Source organism: Homo sapiens, chromosome 2 (assembly GCF_000001405.40).
Source record: "Homo sapiens chromosome 2, GRCh38.p14 Primary Assembly".
NCBI classification, from domain to species: domain Eukaryota; kingdom Metazoa; phylum Chordata; class Mammalia; order Primates; family Hominidae; genus Homo; species Homo sapiens.
Window position 1 is genome coordinate 235,852,565 of NC_000002.12, and position 13,967 is coordinate 235,866,531.

The following is a 13,967-nucleotide window of genomic DNA, read 5'->3' on the forward strand; positions in this document are numbered from 1 at the left end:
TCTTAATGAATAGAGACTGCTGAAGTAAGGGTTAGGTAATTGAGTTTATAATTAATTAGCCATAACCCTCATCAGATAAAGCAGTTGTGAAGAATTTTTTTTATCTCCTTTCTCTCCCCAGGGCCTGCCCTTCTTTGTCCTTGCACTGACAGCCAGCACTTATCTCAGGCCTGCTGGAGCCCGTGCCCGTCAGTCCTCCCCCTGGCCAGGGCCGAGGGGTGGTCAGACCAGCCCGCATTGTGCTGAAGGCCCACAATCAGCCCAGCTGTCCGGGGCCATGATGAATTAGCGGTGGGAGTTAACATAGAGGTGAACTCCAGATCGGCCGATAGCTTGCAGGCCGCTGCTGTTTGTCCTGACTTCAGCGCATCTCTGATAGACCTTTGACACCTTCCAACAAAGAGGTTACAGGAGGGAGAGCTGGAGAAATGGAGCGCTCCTCCAGAAAGTTCGGCAACTCACAAAAGACCCCTTAATTTCTATAGCGGGCAATTCAGTCCACAAAGGAAGGAAATCAATGAGCGTTTACGCTCTTTCTTTGAGGAACCTTTTTTTAAAGAAAAAAACATTTACTGGCGCTTTGCATGTTTTGGGTACAAGCAGTGGTAGAAACATAAAACATTAAAATCCAAGATTGAGCGGATCTGTCTTGACTGCGTTTTATAGACTGGATGAGAGAAAAACGGGGTAAAATGGCTCCCCCTACTCTGCTTCAAGATTTGAAATATCTGACTCAGGCAGGTTGAGTGAGGAATTGTTTTAGGAACAGGGAATGTTGTGACTTTCTTAGTACTGAGTTGGAAATAATGTCAACTTCCTTGTGATTTTAGTTGTTCCTTTCTAATTAACCCCCAGGCAGGTACAGATAAATCTCTCAATACCCTAGGGATGCGGCAGATAGGAAGATGTGAGCCTTTCTTTTCCTCTTCTACAGTCAGTGTTTTATAATAGATAGATTAAATGGAAGTTTTGTTTCTTCTTTGTTAGCAAGACTAGATACCACTTTTCCAGACCACCCTATGGTAATTATTTGGGGACTTAAGGCCAGAATGTTTTATCAGACAATATGACTGAACAGTGATTTTGGATGTTAATGAAAATTTAATCAGATGAATATATTATTCAGCCTCATTTAGGGAGTAAAGTATGATAAGTGCATCTACAAGTGCTGAAATTTGTAGAACAAATGAGGTCATTTTTGTGAAGTAGGCTGAGAACAGACTGGTGTGTGTGGATGGGGGAAAGGATGGTCGCTAGCTTGTTTTGGTTTTAAGTGTAGGCTATACCTTGAATTAACTTGGGAAGTACTGTTACTAGCGACAGTCCCTAGTCATTCATTGCAGACTTGTTGTCAGCCTCCCATGTGGAGATACTAGATGCCATAATTGAGCCATACCTAACAATTCCAAGTTTTTAATGAAGCAAATATGGTAAATATGTCCGTTCCAGGCTTTCTTTGAGTGTAGAAAAAGGAAGTTGATGCGTAGGCTCATGGGATGACCCCGCCTTATATGACTGGATAAAATCCAAATACTCAGCTAGAGAGAGTGGAGCCGCTGTGTTGAGACAGGCACTCCCCCTCAGCCTCCCCTTGTCTTCCCGGGCTCGTGGGGTCACCTCCAGCAAACCCAATTTGAAAACCGGTGATCAAGTGTTGACAACTCCTGTCACAGCTGAGAAACTTAGGCCTTGTTCAAGGTCACATGGAGAAAGAATATTGCATGGAGTAGACCCCGCTCCTCCCCCGCATCCAACTGAACGTGGGCTGTGGTCCTGTTGGCTCCCTATGGGCCTGCTCTCCTTCCCTCTTTTTCTCCCCGATAGATGGGACCTGTGAGGCCTGTCTCTAGCTCAGCTTGGCATGAGATGGGCCACTCCTGCCAGCTCACCTCCCTGCTGGCTATTTGCCCTTCATCACAGAGGTGGGGGAGGATGGCTGCCTCATTCCAGCCTCAGCTGCTATTGTGGCTACAAAGGCAAAGCCAGCTCTACAGCAGGCCCATTTCAGCGCATTATAGGAAACCAGAGGCTTTAAACCCAGACCAGCTTGGAGCCTGGGGCTGCCGCGTCCGCTTACCAGTGGTGGACTTGGGGATGTTTCTTACTCTCCGAGCTTGACTTGCTTTATCTGTTAAGTGGCAGTTGCTGATGGCAGTGAATTGTGGAGTGATAGGTACTGTCATGGCACGAGCTCAAAAGTGGCTGTTTCCCCTGGTTTCGCTTGTTTATTATTAGTATTATTTTCATAGAGGAGTTAATGGAGCAAATGAGAAACAATTCTTTATTCATTCTTAGTTTTGGAGTCTGCATCCTGTACAGTGTCCTCAGAAGTGTAGATCGTTTCTGCTGCAGGAGCCCAGGACGTTTGGTCAGCTCTGACTTCGTCACGTAGACTTTGTGAGAGGGAGGGTGCTTCAGAGGAGGGCCCGCCATGAGGTCTGCCTCCTTGTATTTGTTACTTCTGAAATCTTAATGCCAGTTATTTTAAACTAGGGTGACTAATGGACCCTTATTTCGTGAAGGAACAGAAAAGTAGAAAAGGTTTAAAGGCAAAAAAAGCTGAAGGTATTTGTCTGTGATGTTCAACAAACCAGCCTCATCAGGCCCCAGGTGGAAAATCGGCGTGGTGACGCATGTGCTGCCATCCCTTGGGGTGGCGCACGGAAATGGAAGCGTGAGGTCATCCCTGTGATCAGTAACAAAAGTCTACCTGGAAAATGGTTACTTTGATTTTCCAGGGAGTGAGTAGTGTGACAGGCATGTCAAAATTAATCATCAGTAGATTTATTCAAAGCTAAAAGTCAACTGAAATTCTAAGCTCTCTTTGCTATACTACATTTAAAGATAATTGCTAAAGTTTCTTTAGATGTCCTTATTCATTCAGTTACAGATTTATCATTTTTCAAACCAAATTCTAAACTGTGTTACGTTCAGTATGTTTTTGAAGTCATAAAAGTTGAGTTATAGTAAATTTAAAATCGAGCAATTTCTGCTTTAAATATAGGGTATCATTCTTTCCTTTAGATTCGTTGCCCTGAACTTTTGATTTTGATATTATAAATACACAGCTACTCATCTCATTCTCTTATCTCCACTGTGCTGGGAAGACCGAGAGGCTGAGCAGCAGCTCCACTGAATTCAAGTCAGAGGATATTTGTTTGAATTGGAGACTGGGTGTTGGTAAATGGGTGACAGTGACAAGTGGGTGATTGGGGACACGTCCTTGAGGCTCATGCCTTAGAGGAAATGCCTTGTTTACCCTATGAGGTCTCTAGATGCACGGAGGCTACTGCATTCCCAGGGGGTCAGCCTTGTCTCAGAAGTACTGAGAATATTATTATTATCATTATTATTATTATTTTCTTTTGAGATGGAGTCTCGCTCTGTCACCCAGGCTGGAGTGCAATGGCATGATCTCGGCTCACTGCAACTTCTGCCTCCTGGGTTCAAGTGATTCTCCTACCTCGGCCTCTCGAGTAGCTGGAACTGCAAGCATCTACCACCACACCTGGCTAATTTTTGTATTTTTAGTAGAGGCGGGGTTTCATCATATTGGCCAGGCTGGTCCTGAACTCCTGACCTTGTGAGCCACTCGCCTCGGCCTCCCAAATTGCTGGGATTACAGGCGTGAGCCACCGCACCCGGCCGAGAATATTTTTAAATGTTCATCTCAAGTTAGCATCACTGAAGCTATAGCTTCCTCTCTTTAGTTTGTTCTTGTACCCAGTGATTCACCCAGAATTGTTTGGGTTTTCCATATAAGAAAATGTGATTCGCTTGGTGTCAGTAAGGAAGGGATTCTCTGACTCATAGAAGCAGGGGTGTCACCCCAAACAGCACCATGAGGAGGATAGCCTGAGTCCGATCCCTCTGGGTTGGGGCTGCCATCAGGATCTGTACATTCTCATGACCTGTGTGCTTAAACTTGGGCCCTTGAGGTTCCTGTCCTTTCCACATCTAAGCCAGCAGTAGACTCAAACCGAAGGTCCGTTAATGTCCTCATCAGTCGTGAGCAGCTCTGTGTGGACCATCTGCCTGTCCAGTACTGAACCAGTTCCTGTGACTGGGGCTCATTGCCTTGGCCTAGGCCACATGTTGACCCAGAGTACACAGGCCAGGATGGGAAAGGGTCACCTGCCCATGCAGAGTCACAGGTCCTGGCCATGAGCACAGGAGTTGGATGTAGGACAACCACCATAAATGTCCCTTGCCCAAGTTGTCATGAAATTTCAAAACTTCAGCCAGTGTTCCCTGCTTGACACTCAGACCTGAAGGCCTCCTGCAAGTGCCAGCCACTGTCGTGAGCTCAGGTGTCTGAGAGCACGCTTGGTTCCCACGCTGCGGTCCGGTTGGACGTGGTAGATGTGAGACCAGTGCCTGAAAGAATGCCGCTGTAGGGAAACATGAAGACACACACACTCAGCCACACTGTATTTAATGGGCCGGGATTTGTGTAAGTGATCTCCATGGAGACGCAGGTGGTGAGCCTGAGATGCTACACTTTAGAGCAGGAGTCATCCACTCCCAGATGGCAGCCTGGTACCAGTCTGTGGCCTGTTAGGAACCGGGCCACACAGCAAGAGGTGAGCGGCGAGTGAGTGAGCATTACTGCCTGAGCGCTGCCTCCCGTCAGATCAGCGGAGGCATTAGATTCTCACAGAAGTGCGAACCCTATTGAGAACGGCACATGCAAGGGATCTAGGACGCACACTCCTTATGAGAATCTAGTGCCCGATGATCTAAGGTGGAACAGTTTCACCCTGAAAACCATCCCTCCTCCCTATCCGTGGAAAAATTGTCTTCCAGGAAACTGGTCCCTGGTGCCAAAAAGGTTGGGGGCCGCTGTCGTAGATCCTTTGACGAGCGTCCCCAAGGAGACCTCAGACACAGGTTCCTGCCTTGCAGGGTCCTGACCCCGACCCTCCCGTTGCTCACAGTGTGTGTGCATGTCCGTTGAGCAGCTTCCCACCCTGATTGCAGCTGTTCCTTTTTAAACAGAACCTGCAGAAGTGGATACACCAAGAACATGGATGCATTGCATGTCACATGTATACATTGTCTGTTTCTCCACATATACACCATAACAGAAATGACACAGAAGAGCACCTCCTCGGTTTGCCAACTAGCTTTTGTATAGCAGCAAATTCAAAGTCAACTAGTGATGAGGAAAGACTGGAAGCAGCTAATAATAAGCATTCTTATGTAACTGATTTGCAAGAATGTAGTACAGTCGTCATTTGGGAATTGACTGGGTATAAAGAGTTTTCCAGTAAAAGCGCTGGAAGAACCAGAGCCTGCAGAAGCAGGCCTATCGCCCTGTGCCATGTTTTTTGCCACACTGTCTGCCCATGTTGGGAGTGTGAGGCTTATACCCAGGGCTGCTTCCTGGGTGATCTTGGGGGATTTTCATTTTTCTGGTACAGGACTGGAGAGTTTATGAGATACACCATGACGGTACAGCATTTAATTTAGTATCACCACTTCGGGAGAATGTGTATCTTAATTGCTAAAATCTCTAACTTTGTATAAATTCAAATTGAACATAATCCAGACTATATAGCAATCTTTAATGAATTCCATCATCAACATTACCACATAAAGGAAGTTAAGTTGGGCGTATAAAATCGTAATTCAGTAAATTTTTCTTTAGTTAGTAAGCAGATTAGTATTCATTGCTAAGATGCATTTTATCAACGGTTTTGGTAGCGTTAGTTAAAAAATGTAAGAATAATGCTATAGAACATGAACATAACATTTTTAGAGAAGTATATTTATCAAACTTTTTAGTTGCACAGTTTCTAAGGGCTGCTTACTGATTAAAAACATTTTTACTTATAAAAATGTCAGCCTGTTTTATTTAAGATAAGACATTGAGCTTTCAAGTTGGCAAATTGATGGGCAGAACGTATATATCCTGTTTGTACATGTTTGAGTTTAAGATGCAGTAGGTTAGGGGGAAAATGTTTTAAAACCATACAGAATTTAGGAAACAGACCTTTTAACTAATAACTGTTACTGAGAGATGATAAAAAAAAATATGAACTAGTTCACAATGAATTATATTTTGTATGCATGATTGTCTGTGATTATTAATTGATGTGTACTTCCTCTTTGTCAAAAGTTATAATGTATCCGTCTACCATGAAAGGTCCCTAGAACATGAAAGGTGGTTTCTCTACATGCCTGTGAAATTGATGAGCAGGGAGAGGCTTACTCATATTTTAATGCCAGCAGTAACAGTGCTCACACCCAGAGATCAGGGGCATCAAAGTTGGTGGTAGCAAGGAGTATTTGCCACTGTAATTGACAAATAATACCCCTCATAAATACTGCCAGTCTTTTCAATTAGTTTTCATCTAAAATTCTGGCTACAAAATGATGGCCTGTCAACTGACAATGAATGGCAAAAATTAATAAATTGTCTTCTAAATAGAATGGACACTTAAGAAAAATTGGGCAGCCAATTTAGCACAGCATGAAGCAAGGGGAACCCTTTGTACTGGTGCCGGGCACTAATGTTGTCTCGATCTTTATTAATGGTGCTCGGCGGCTGCTGACAGTTTTGTTGCTACTGGCAACTTTCTTCATTAAAATTAAAGCCAGCATCAAATTCCATTAGCCGTACTCTGGGCACCTTGCATTTTTTTTTTAATACATATTGTTTCTTTTGTTAACTCCCTCTCCACCCATAAGAAGTTGTCAGAGAAGTTAAATGGAAGGAATTGTTTGCTAAGGCCAGAGAACCATTCACTGTTGTTGTGGGGAAATGGCCATTACTGGCCCGGTGAGAACCCCCATCCTGAAATCTGCAACTCTCCCCCCACAACCTCCCCCCCCCCCCCCGCCTTTTGTTCCATCCCCTTTCAAAATGGGAGCATATTACCTCTAAAAACGACACACTATTTTGGATCTGCAGCTTTCAGATAGGAACGACTAATTGGTATGAGGCCTTCTAGTTTCTTATTTTTTCTGAGCAGTTTTTTTTTTTTTTAAAGTTCCTGCTTCCCTTTTCTAACTGTATTTCCATAGCTGACTATACCTTAACACAATAGTAACTCAATGCTCAGAGAGACTCGCATTTGTCCGGAAGGCCTTAGAGTTATTTTCCCGAAGGCATTACTTTTATCTGTAGAACAAATTTCAACCTTTGAAGGAAAAAATCGAGCTTTGCTGAATAAGTTCTGAACTATTGTCTGAAAAGCCGTTGCCTGCCCTTCACAGCACTGTGTACAGTTCAAAAGGCTCTGAAATGCCTCCGCCCTGGAGCTGCTCCTCTTTCGCCAGCAAGAGGCAACAAACAGCTCTGATTCTAGGACAACTCAGTTCTTGGCTGTGCGCAGCGCCTTCCACCAGCAAGCAGAGGTTGTATGGCCACTGCGAATGTCTCTTGTAAAGGAACTAGGCTGGGATCACCATCCCCATGGGTTACCTTCCCCTCCCAGCCCAGTCTCATAATTGCTTTCTTCTGTCCTCAGTAATGCTAAGTTTAGGGGCTAAACCTTCATCTCAGTTTGTTTTCTTCTTCTCCTCCTCCTCCTCCTTTTAACTTGTATCTTACACTGAAAGAAACACAAATACTCATTAAAACAGTGAAAAGATAGTTGTCAAGCAACAAAGGAAAGGGCATACCAGAAAACATACACTGAGAAATAAAAAATATAACTTTATCTCTGAGCATCCTAGCACTCAAGGCAAAAAGGAAGATAATAATGCTGAGCTCTGCTGGAAGTCATTACGTAAGTGCGTTCGGTATTTCCTTTAACTGTTCTAACTTGAAACCATAATTATAATTACCTTTTTTTTTTGCCTCAAGGAGATGGCTTATGGATTGAATATGAGGATTACCTTTTTCTAACTGCGCAGCTTTCTAGTCACCACTGTCTCCCCATACCTTCCAGTCTCACATCACAGATACGTATTTTATTAATGGTATCTAGGATAGTGTTAACAGGAGTCTAACAAATCCAGTATTGTCCTTGTGAATCTTATTCTCATTTGTGGAATTTCTCAAAAATACAGCAACTGACTGAGATTCCAAACAGCTCACAATTAAAGACAGTACAATGTTTTGCTTTACAGAGAAGTGGCAGTAGTACAGATTCTGTTTTTTTGTAATAAATGTTTCTGACATTTTAATAGTGAAGTAAATTAATCAAATAATTGCAGGAAGATTCTGCTATTCAGCCGTTCTTTTTTGAGTAATCTTAAATAATTAAAGGAAGAACAACATGCCAAATGATGGTTCAATTAGCATGTATAAAAATAAATATTTACCAAGACTGCATTATTTGCCAAAACGGAGATGTGCAATTATTTAATATTGTTGATGGGGCCCATAAAACAAATAGTACCAAATCTCTCCCTGTGTACGGCCGTCAGCCTCCAAGGGCTGTTCTCCCACTGCAGACACCCCTCCTCTTACCACCACAATATCTGAACCAGGCAAGGAGACAATTGTTACTTGATGACTGAGCCCACTAATATGTTACAGGAAATGGGGCATGAAATGCAATACTTTATATATAGTATGTACTGTGTGAGTCTTCCATTGAAACAAGGCCATTTTTAGCTTGCTGATACAATATTTGCAGTGGTTCATCATTCGATTGTCCTGATTAACAATCAACTTCTATAGGGGACCATTTGAGTAGTTTTTTTAAATGTGATGAATCAGAGGATTTGTTCAACATCACTTCATCCTCTTCTTTAAATGGTAATTGGCACTTGGGAACTTGGGAGTGAAATAAGGTGTGGTCTGTTCTATGTGGTCATTTCCAGAAGTGCCGTTTTGACCACTGCTGTGCCTTTCATCCAGATTTTTGCAACTGGTAAAGGTGTCACAGGCACCATTGAAATCTACTCCCTCATCAGGGAACACACTCTTGTTGATAGCAACAGCATGCAATCTCTGTTACAGCCTCTAAGTTGGAACAGAGAAGGCTTTCGTAGAGGACATTTGGTGGAAATGAAACACATCCAAGCTGTCCCACGTTAACTGTCACCTCTGTCACCCACATGCACTACCTATGTTTAGCAGGGCAGCCTCTGCCTGTGATTTGCAGGGAGCGCATGCTGACAGCTCTCTTCCCTCTCCTTAGTTCCAGGAAGGTCCAGGCAGTTGAACTGACTGCTTGTCTGTAGAAAGACCCACTGTGTCCCTGGGGGACTGGTAGGTACCCTGATTCCTGCTTATCAGGGGATTGATTCTGGGCATGACCCTTCACCTTCTCTGTGCATATCTGTATCTTACCTCCATCTGGTCACTAGTTCCAGTAACTTGGCATTTCCTTAAATGAAACATTAACATCTGTAGAAAAGATCTCTCTGACATGTTAGATGTAACATGAGTTAAAAAGTCCCATTTGGGAGGAAGAGAACCATTGGGGACCCTGCCCCGTGGGGTTCCTGAGTGTCCTGGGCACCTTTGCTTGAGCTCATTCTTTTCGTCAGAGATCAAAACCAGGAGTGCCTCCTTCAGCTTGTACTACCGGATGGCTTAGCACCTGGCGAGTGAGTGTCTCAGAAAGGAAACTGCAGGAGTGCATTAGACCACTCAGGGGCCCTGCTGTCCTGGGTGTTCATCCATGGCTCCATTCATCCATGGCTCCGTGCACGTGCAGCCCGGGACCATGACTCTGATTCGATGCACTTTGTTTTCCAGAAGCACAGTTTGTCTTCTAACTTCTAATCAGTTCGGGATGGTATTCAAATTTCCAAGAAATTAAATTATTTGTAGTAAGGAGTTATTGCCAGTAGCAGTGGTAGCGGTCCTTGTCATCGTCATCAAAGTGGCGGTGGTAGTAATAGCAGTATAAGGAAATATTTGTGCTGCTCGTAATGAAACGTGCACATGGAATGTTTCTGGAGATCAGGGCCAGATGTAGGGTGCATTTTCCATGCCCGTTCTCATCCGTAGCAGAGACTGCGTGGAGTGCTGTGTTGAGAAGGCTTCGGAGGCTCAGGTGTTGCAGATGCCATCTGCCATCACCATGGGGTAGGGCAGTGCAAACTGCAAACTGTCCCAGGTACCTTTTAGCCATTCTTGGTTTAAGTCTTTAAGACTAAAATTGACACATGGCTGTTTGTCTGCATAAACCTTTTTCTTTCTTTAATCAGGAGGAAAGTGAGTAATCCTTTTCATTTCTCCAGTAGAACCTCTAGTCCATGTCTGAATTGCCTTCACAGACCATATGCACCTTTGAACTTCCGTAATAGATGTCAGGATCCTGAGGGCAGCCCTGGGTTGTTCTTTATGCCTCTTCACATCCAGGGTGGTGCTGTCCACTCACCGTGCGTGCATTGAGACTGTTTGGGTTGCTTTGCTCTCTGGTGAGATCTCTGTGTGCATGCTTTTTCTAATCTCCTCTGCTCTGTGTAGGGCAGGGCATATGTATGTAGTTATCATAATGGGATTTGGAGCCCACAGACAATGTGGCTTCCCCTTTACTGCTCACTGGTTATATTACCTTGCCCAATTACTTAACCTCCATGAAACTTTTTACCATTCATGAGATTTGTTAGAATCATTCAGTAATTCATTCATCAAATACTTTTTGAACATTTGATATTTGCCAGGTTATGGGCAAGACGGGAGTGGTCCCTACTGTCCATAAGCTCATGATGTAGCAACTAAGGAGCCAGATGGCAGGGGCATCCCACGTGGTCTGGGAAGCCCTGTCAAATGGAAACACAGTGCCAACCACAATGTGATTTCCATTTTGCAGGGGCAGGTACATGAGAAAAAGTAAGAAGAAATAAGTGAATCTGAAGTTTATTTTAATATGCTTTATTTAACCTAGTATATCCAGTGTTTGATCATTTTAGCATATAATCAATACAAGAAGTTACCTTGCGCCCTACAGAACCTTCAAAATCTGGTGTGTAGTTCACCTATATAGCACCTCTCGGCTGGGACTGGCCTCCCGTCGAGTCCTCAGTTGGCACATGTGGCTGAGGGTGGCCCTGTGGGATGGTACAGGTACAGCCTCCTCTTTGAGCTAGGGATGATTTCAGCTGACCAGGGGACAGACGCTGGCTGGGGTTAGGGAGGCAGTGTGAGGTGGGCCTCCTGGGCCCGAGGTCATCGAAGGCCCCGGTGGGGAGAGCACATGGCTAACTACGGGTCGCTGGCCAATGCAAGGCAGCAGCATGGGAGAAAGCCCTGGTGTGAGGCGGGACACCTGGTTTGCAGGCTGAGGATGTGCCACCTGTGGGACACCAGGTAGTGATGTCTGCAGCTGTGGATGAGACCTTCTAGGGGAAGAGTTAACTCGGAAAGAAAGGAACTCTGAGCATTGAAGAGTCAGGTGGATGAAAAGTTGCCAGGAATGGAAAAGAGAAACTAGAGGGAACAAGGGAAGTGTGTCATTCAGGAACTTTCTGTATTTAAAAGTGTGTGTTGGAGAGAAAGGACAAATCTTTTATGCGGAGGACTTGTAAATATTTTCCATAGATATAAAAGTCGACTTCATAGCTTGCCTGGTGTGCTCGGTTTTGACTCTATAGATCTGACTTGAATGCGCAAGCGGGCCGTTCCCACGTGATTTAATAAACAGTTGCTGTAGCATGTGTAATCTTTGCAGTGACAACAATTTAGGGATCATTCGCTAGAATAAAGCAGGAGCAGCAGGTTCTGATTGTTCCTTTTTCAGGAATTCCTCCCTGCCATATCCATGTGCCACTGTGTAGTCCCGTGAACTCTGCATTTTCGCAGAATGCCCCCATCATGTGAAGGGGTTCGGCTCACTCTGTGGCCGGCCTGGAGGCCTGGGTGTGCTTCCTAGGCAGGCAGTTGGATTCTGTTTAATTTTCTTTAGCTATGGGAGAAATGGAGTCCATTTCCAGACCATGGTAAGTGCCCGTTGGTTTTGTTTGCGGTTCTGGCCTCCAGGGCGGTCTGGGTGGGAGGAGGAGGTGGGCGGCCGGAAGGTGGTTGAGCGTTTCCGCTCCACTGCGCGGCCCCGGAGCCCCCAAACGCAGGTCAGCATGGAGGGGCAGCCTGCAGAGGTGTCACCAGCAGCCATTAAGTGCAGATACTGTCGTCCCTGGTGTCGTCCCTGAAAATCTTGTGACAGGGAGAGACAGAGTGAAAGGAAAGAAAAACGAGGCGATCAAGAGATAATATTAACTAGAAAAATCAAGAGGGGATCTGTCAGTCCTGGTGGGAAAAAAAAACATTTTGTTTTTCTTAGTTTCCTTTTCCTTTTCTTTTCTTTCCTTTGGATGGAGGAGGTTTGGTTTGGTCTTAGTACCCCAGCATACAGTAGCTTCATTGGCTTTTTTTCTGCCCATATTCAAAATTCCTTTGATTAGCATTTGGTTCTGGTTGGGACTTAATAATGCTAGCCAGACCTAATGTGAACCATACATCTCGTCGGCATTACTCATCGTCAACATGGGTTTTTAAAAGGGAAGGAGAGAAACACAACAAACTTTTTATTTCTTTCCCTGTCATTGTTCTTGGTCTTGTTATTCAGTGGACGCTGTATTAAATTGGATTCTGTGTCCATCATTATTAAAATGTGAAGTGTGTCGGTCACAAAGCATACATTTCGGGGCAGTTAGCTGAATAATTCTTTTCTTTATTATCCCAAATTACTGCTGAGCTCTGGAGAGGGGAGCAGTTTAGCCAATTATTGCCATTTGAGCTGGATTTGTGGGTGATTAGCTCCTGGCCGAATCCAGTCCCGGCCGGCGCTTTGAAGCCTGTGCTGTGCGATTTTCTCAGCAGTGAGGTAGGAATAGACGCGGCTAATGACAGGAAGGTCGCGCGGGTGAGCTGACCTGTGTGTGGCGCAGCCTTGGGTTCCGCAAATAGGGCACCCACAGTAACACGTGTGGCGCCGACCCCGCCGTGCGCAATCGGGGCTTTATACGATTGCTGGAGATGCTGACAGCTCAATTAAAGTGTAACCCTTTGTGCCCTGCAACCTGGCACAACGACAGAAATATTACTCGCCGGAAAGGGGAGGGGGTCTTTGGGGAGCTGGTTAAAGATCCAGAATCGGCCCCTCGCCCCTTTGCCCCTCCCCCAACTCCCTCCACTGTACAGAAGGAGCTGCAGAAAAGCCTCCATTTGTAAAATAATAGGTGCTCTGGAGGAGGGGCAGGGCGGGAAATATTACTATTTTAAAAAGCTCAGTTAAGGGGGGATTCCTGCTGTTCCTATGGAAACACTTTAAACTAGAGAGAAAGTTAAAAAGATTTAGTAGCGGCAGAGCTTGTGTCTGCTGGTCACATTTTCTAGTCATCTCCTTTTACCAAAATTTACCTCCCAGCATCGTGGATGTGAATTTGCCAGAAGTTTTCCGTTTGTGGAGGACTGGGGAAAGCCAGTTAATTGGGATGTGTTTTTGCACACAACGAATGATTTCTATGTTATCGATTTACTTCTTTCACTTAACGGCATTTTCTGCAGCTTGAATGAAAGCTGTCTCGATCCATGTATGTCTGTGTATCTGCGGTCTGGTCATTTTTGCCACACTTGATTTTTTTCTGCTAAACCCTACGTCTTGCAGTATATGGGTCACTCATCCAGATTTACTTGATGCTGTTTTAGTTAGGCAGCAGCATGCGATGCCCTGTGCGCATCTTTATTTTTGGTTTTAGATTTTTGGTGGACTGCTTTGATGTTTTATTTTCTGAGACTAGGAGTATCTATAACTTGGTGTGGTTATTCTTGCAGGTTGAGCCGGGTGCTAGCTACTGATGTGGGAATCTGGGAGCCCGAGCCGACTCAGACAGTCCTGACTCCCCAGAATTCCCACCGAGGGAGACAATCCGTGTGTGTGATCGGGGTGTTCTGGACTTGAGGTACCTGGTAGATACTCGGGGGAGTGTGTCCAGTACGGAATGGGAATTGAGACTCCAGCAAGTGGGGAAGAGACAGCGGAAGTCCCCAGTGTGACACCAGGGCCTGTGGGGCGTATTTGGTGAGACTGGTGAGGTCAGCATTGGACCACCTCCCA

At 45.0% G+C, this 13,967-nt stretch overlaps 1 protein-coding gene across 5 annotated transcripts in view, besides 2 other annotated features; it reads left to right on the forward strand.

Moving 5' to 3' along the window:
• AGAP1 (ArfGAP with GTPase domain, ankyrin repeat and PH domain 1) overlaps positions 1–13,967 on the forward strand; it is a 637,751-nt gene that overhangs the window by 358,522 nt on the left and 265,262 nt on the right. Inside the window, exon 10 of one of the 5 annotated variants that reach the window (NM_001244888.2) lies at positions 122–643. The exons of the other annotated variants lie outside the window; for them this stretch is intronic. Within the exon in view, the coding sequence (NP_001231817.1) occupies positions 122–289 (168 nt within the window). The 3' untranslated portion in view covers positions 290–643. Of the gene's footprint in view, positions 1–121; positions 644–13,967 lie in introns of those variants that run through there. 5 annotated transcript variants of the gene reach the window in all.
• Positions 2,072–3,271: an enhancer, noted in NCBI's record as "P300/CBP strongly-dependent group 1 enhancer chr2:236763280-236764479 (GRCh37/hg19 assembly coordinates)". NCBI's record gives its function as "activates an origin of replication core promoter dependent on BRD2, BRD4, P300/CBP, MED14 and CDK7 cofactors, with strong dependence on P300/CBP, by STARR-seq in HCT116 cells {active_cell/tissue: HCT116}" and the evidence as "EXISTENCE:reporter gene assay evidence [ECO:0000049][PMID:35650434]".
• Positions 12,250–13,488: an enhancer, noted in NCBI's record as "VISTA enhancer hs521". NCBI's record gives its function as "enhancer in: limb[6/6] | branchial arch[6/6] | eye[4/6] | ear[6/6]" and the evidence as "EXISTENCE:transgenic organism evidence [ECO:0001131][PMID:17130149]".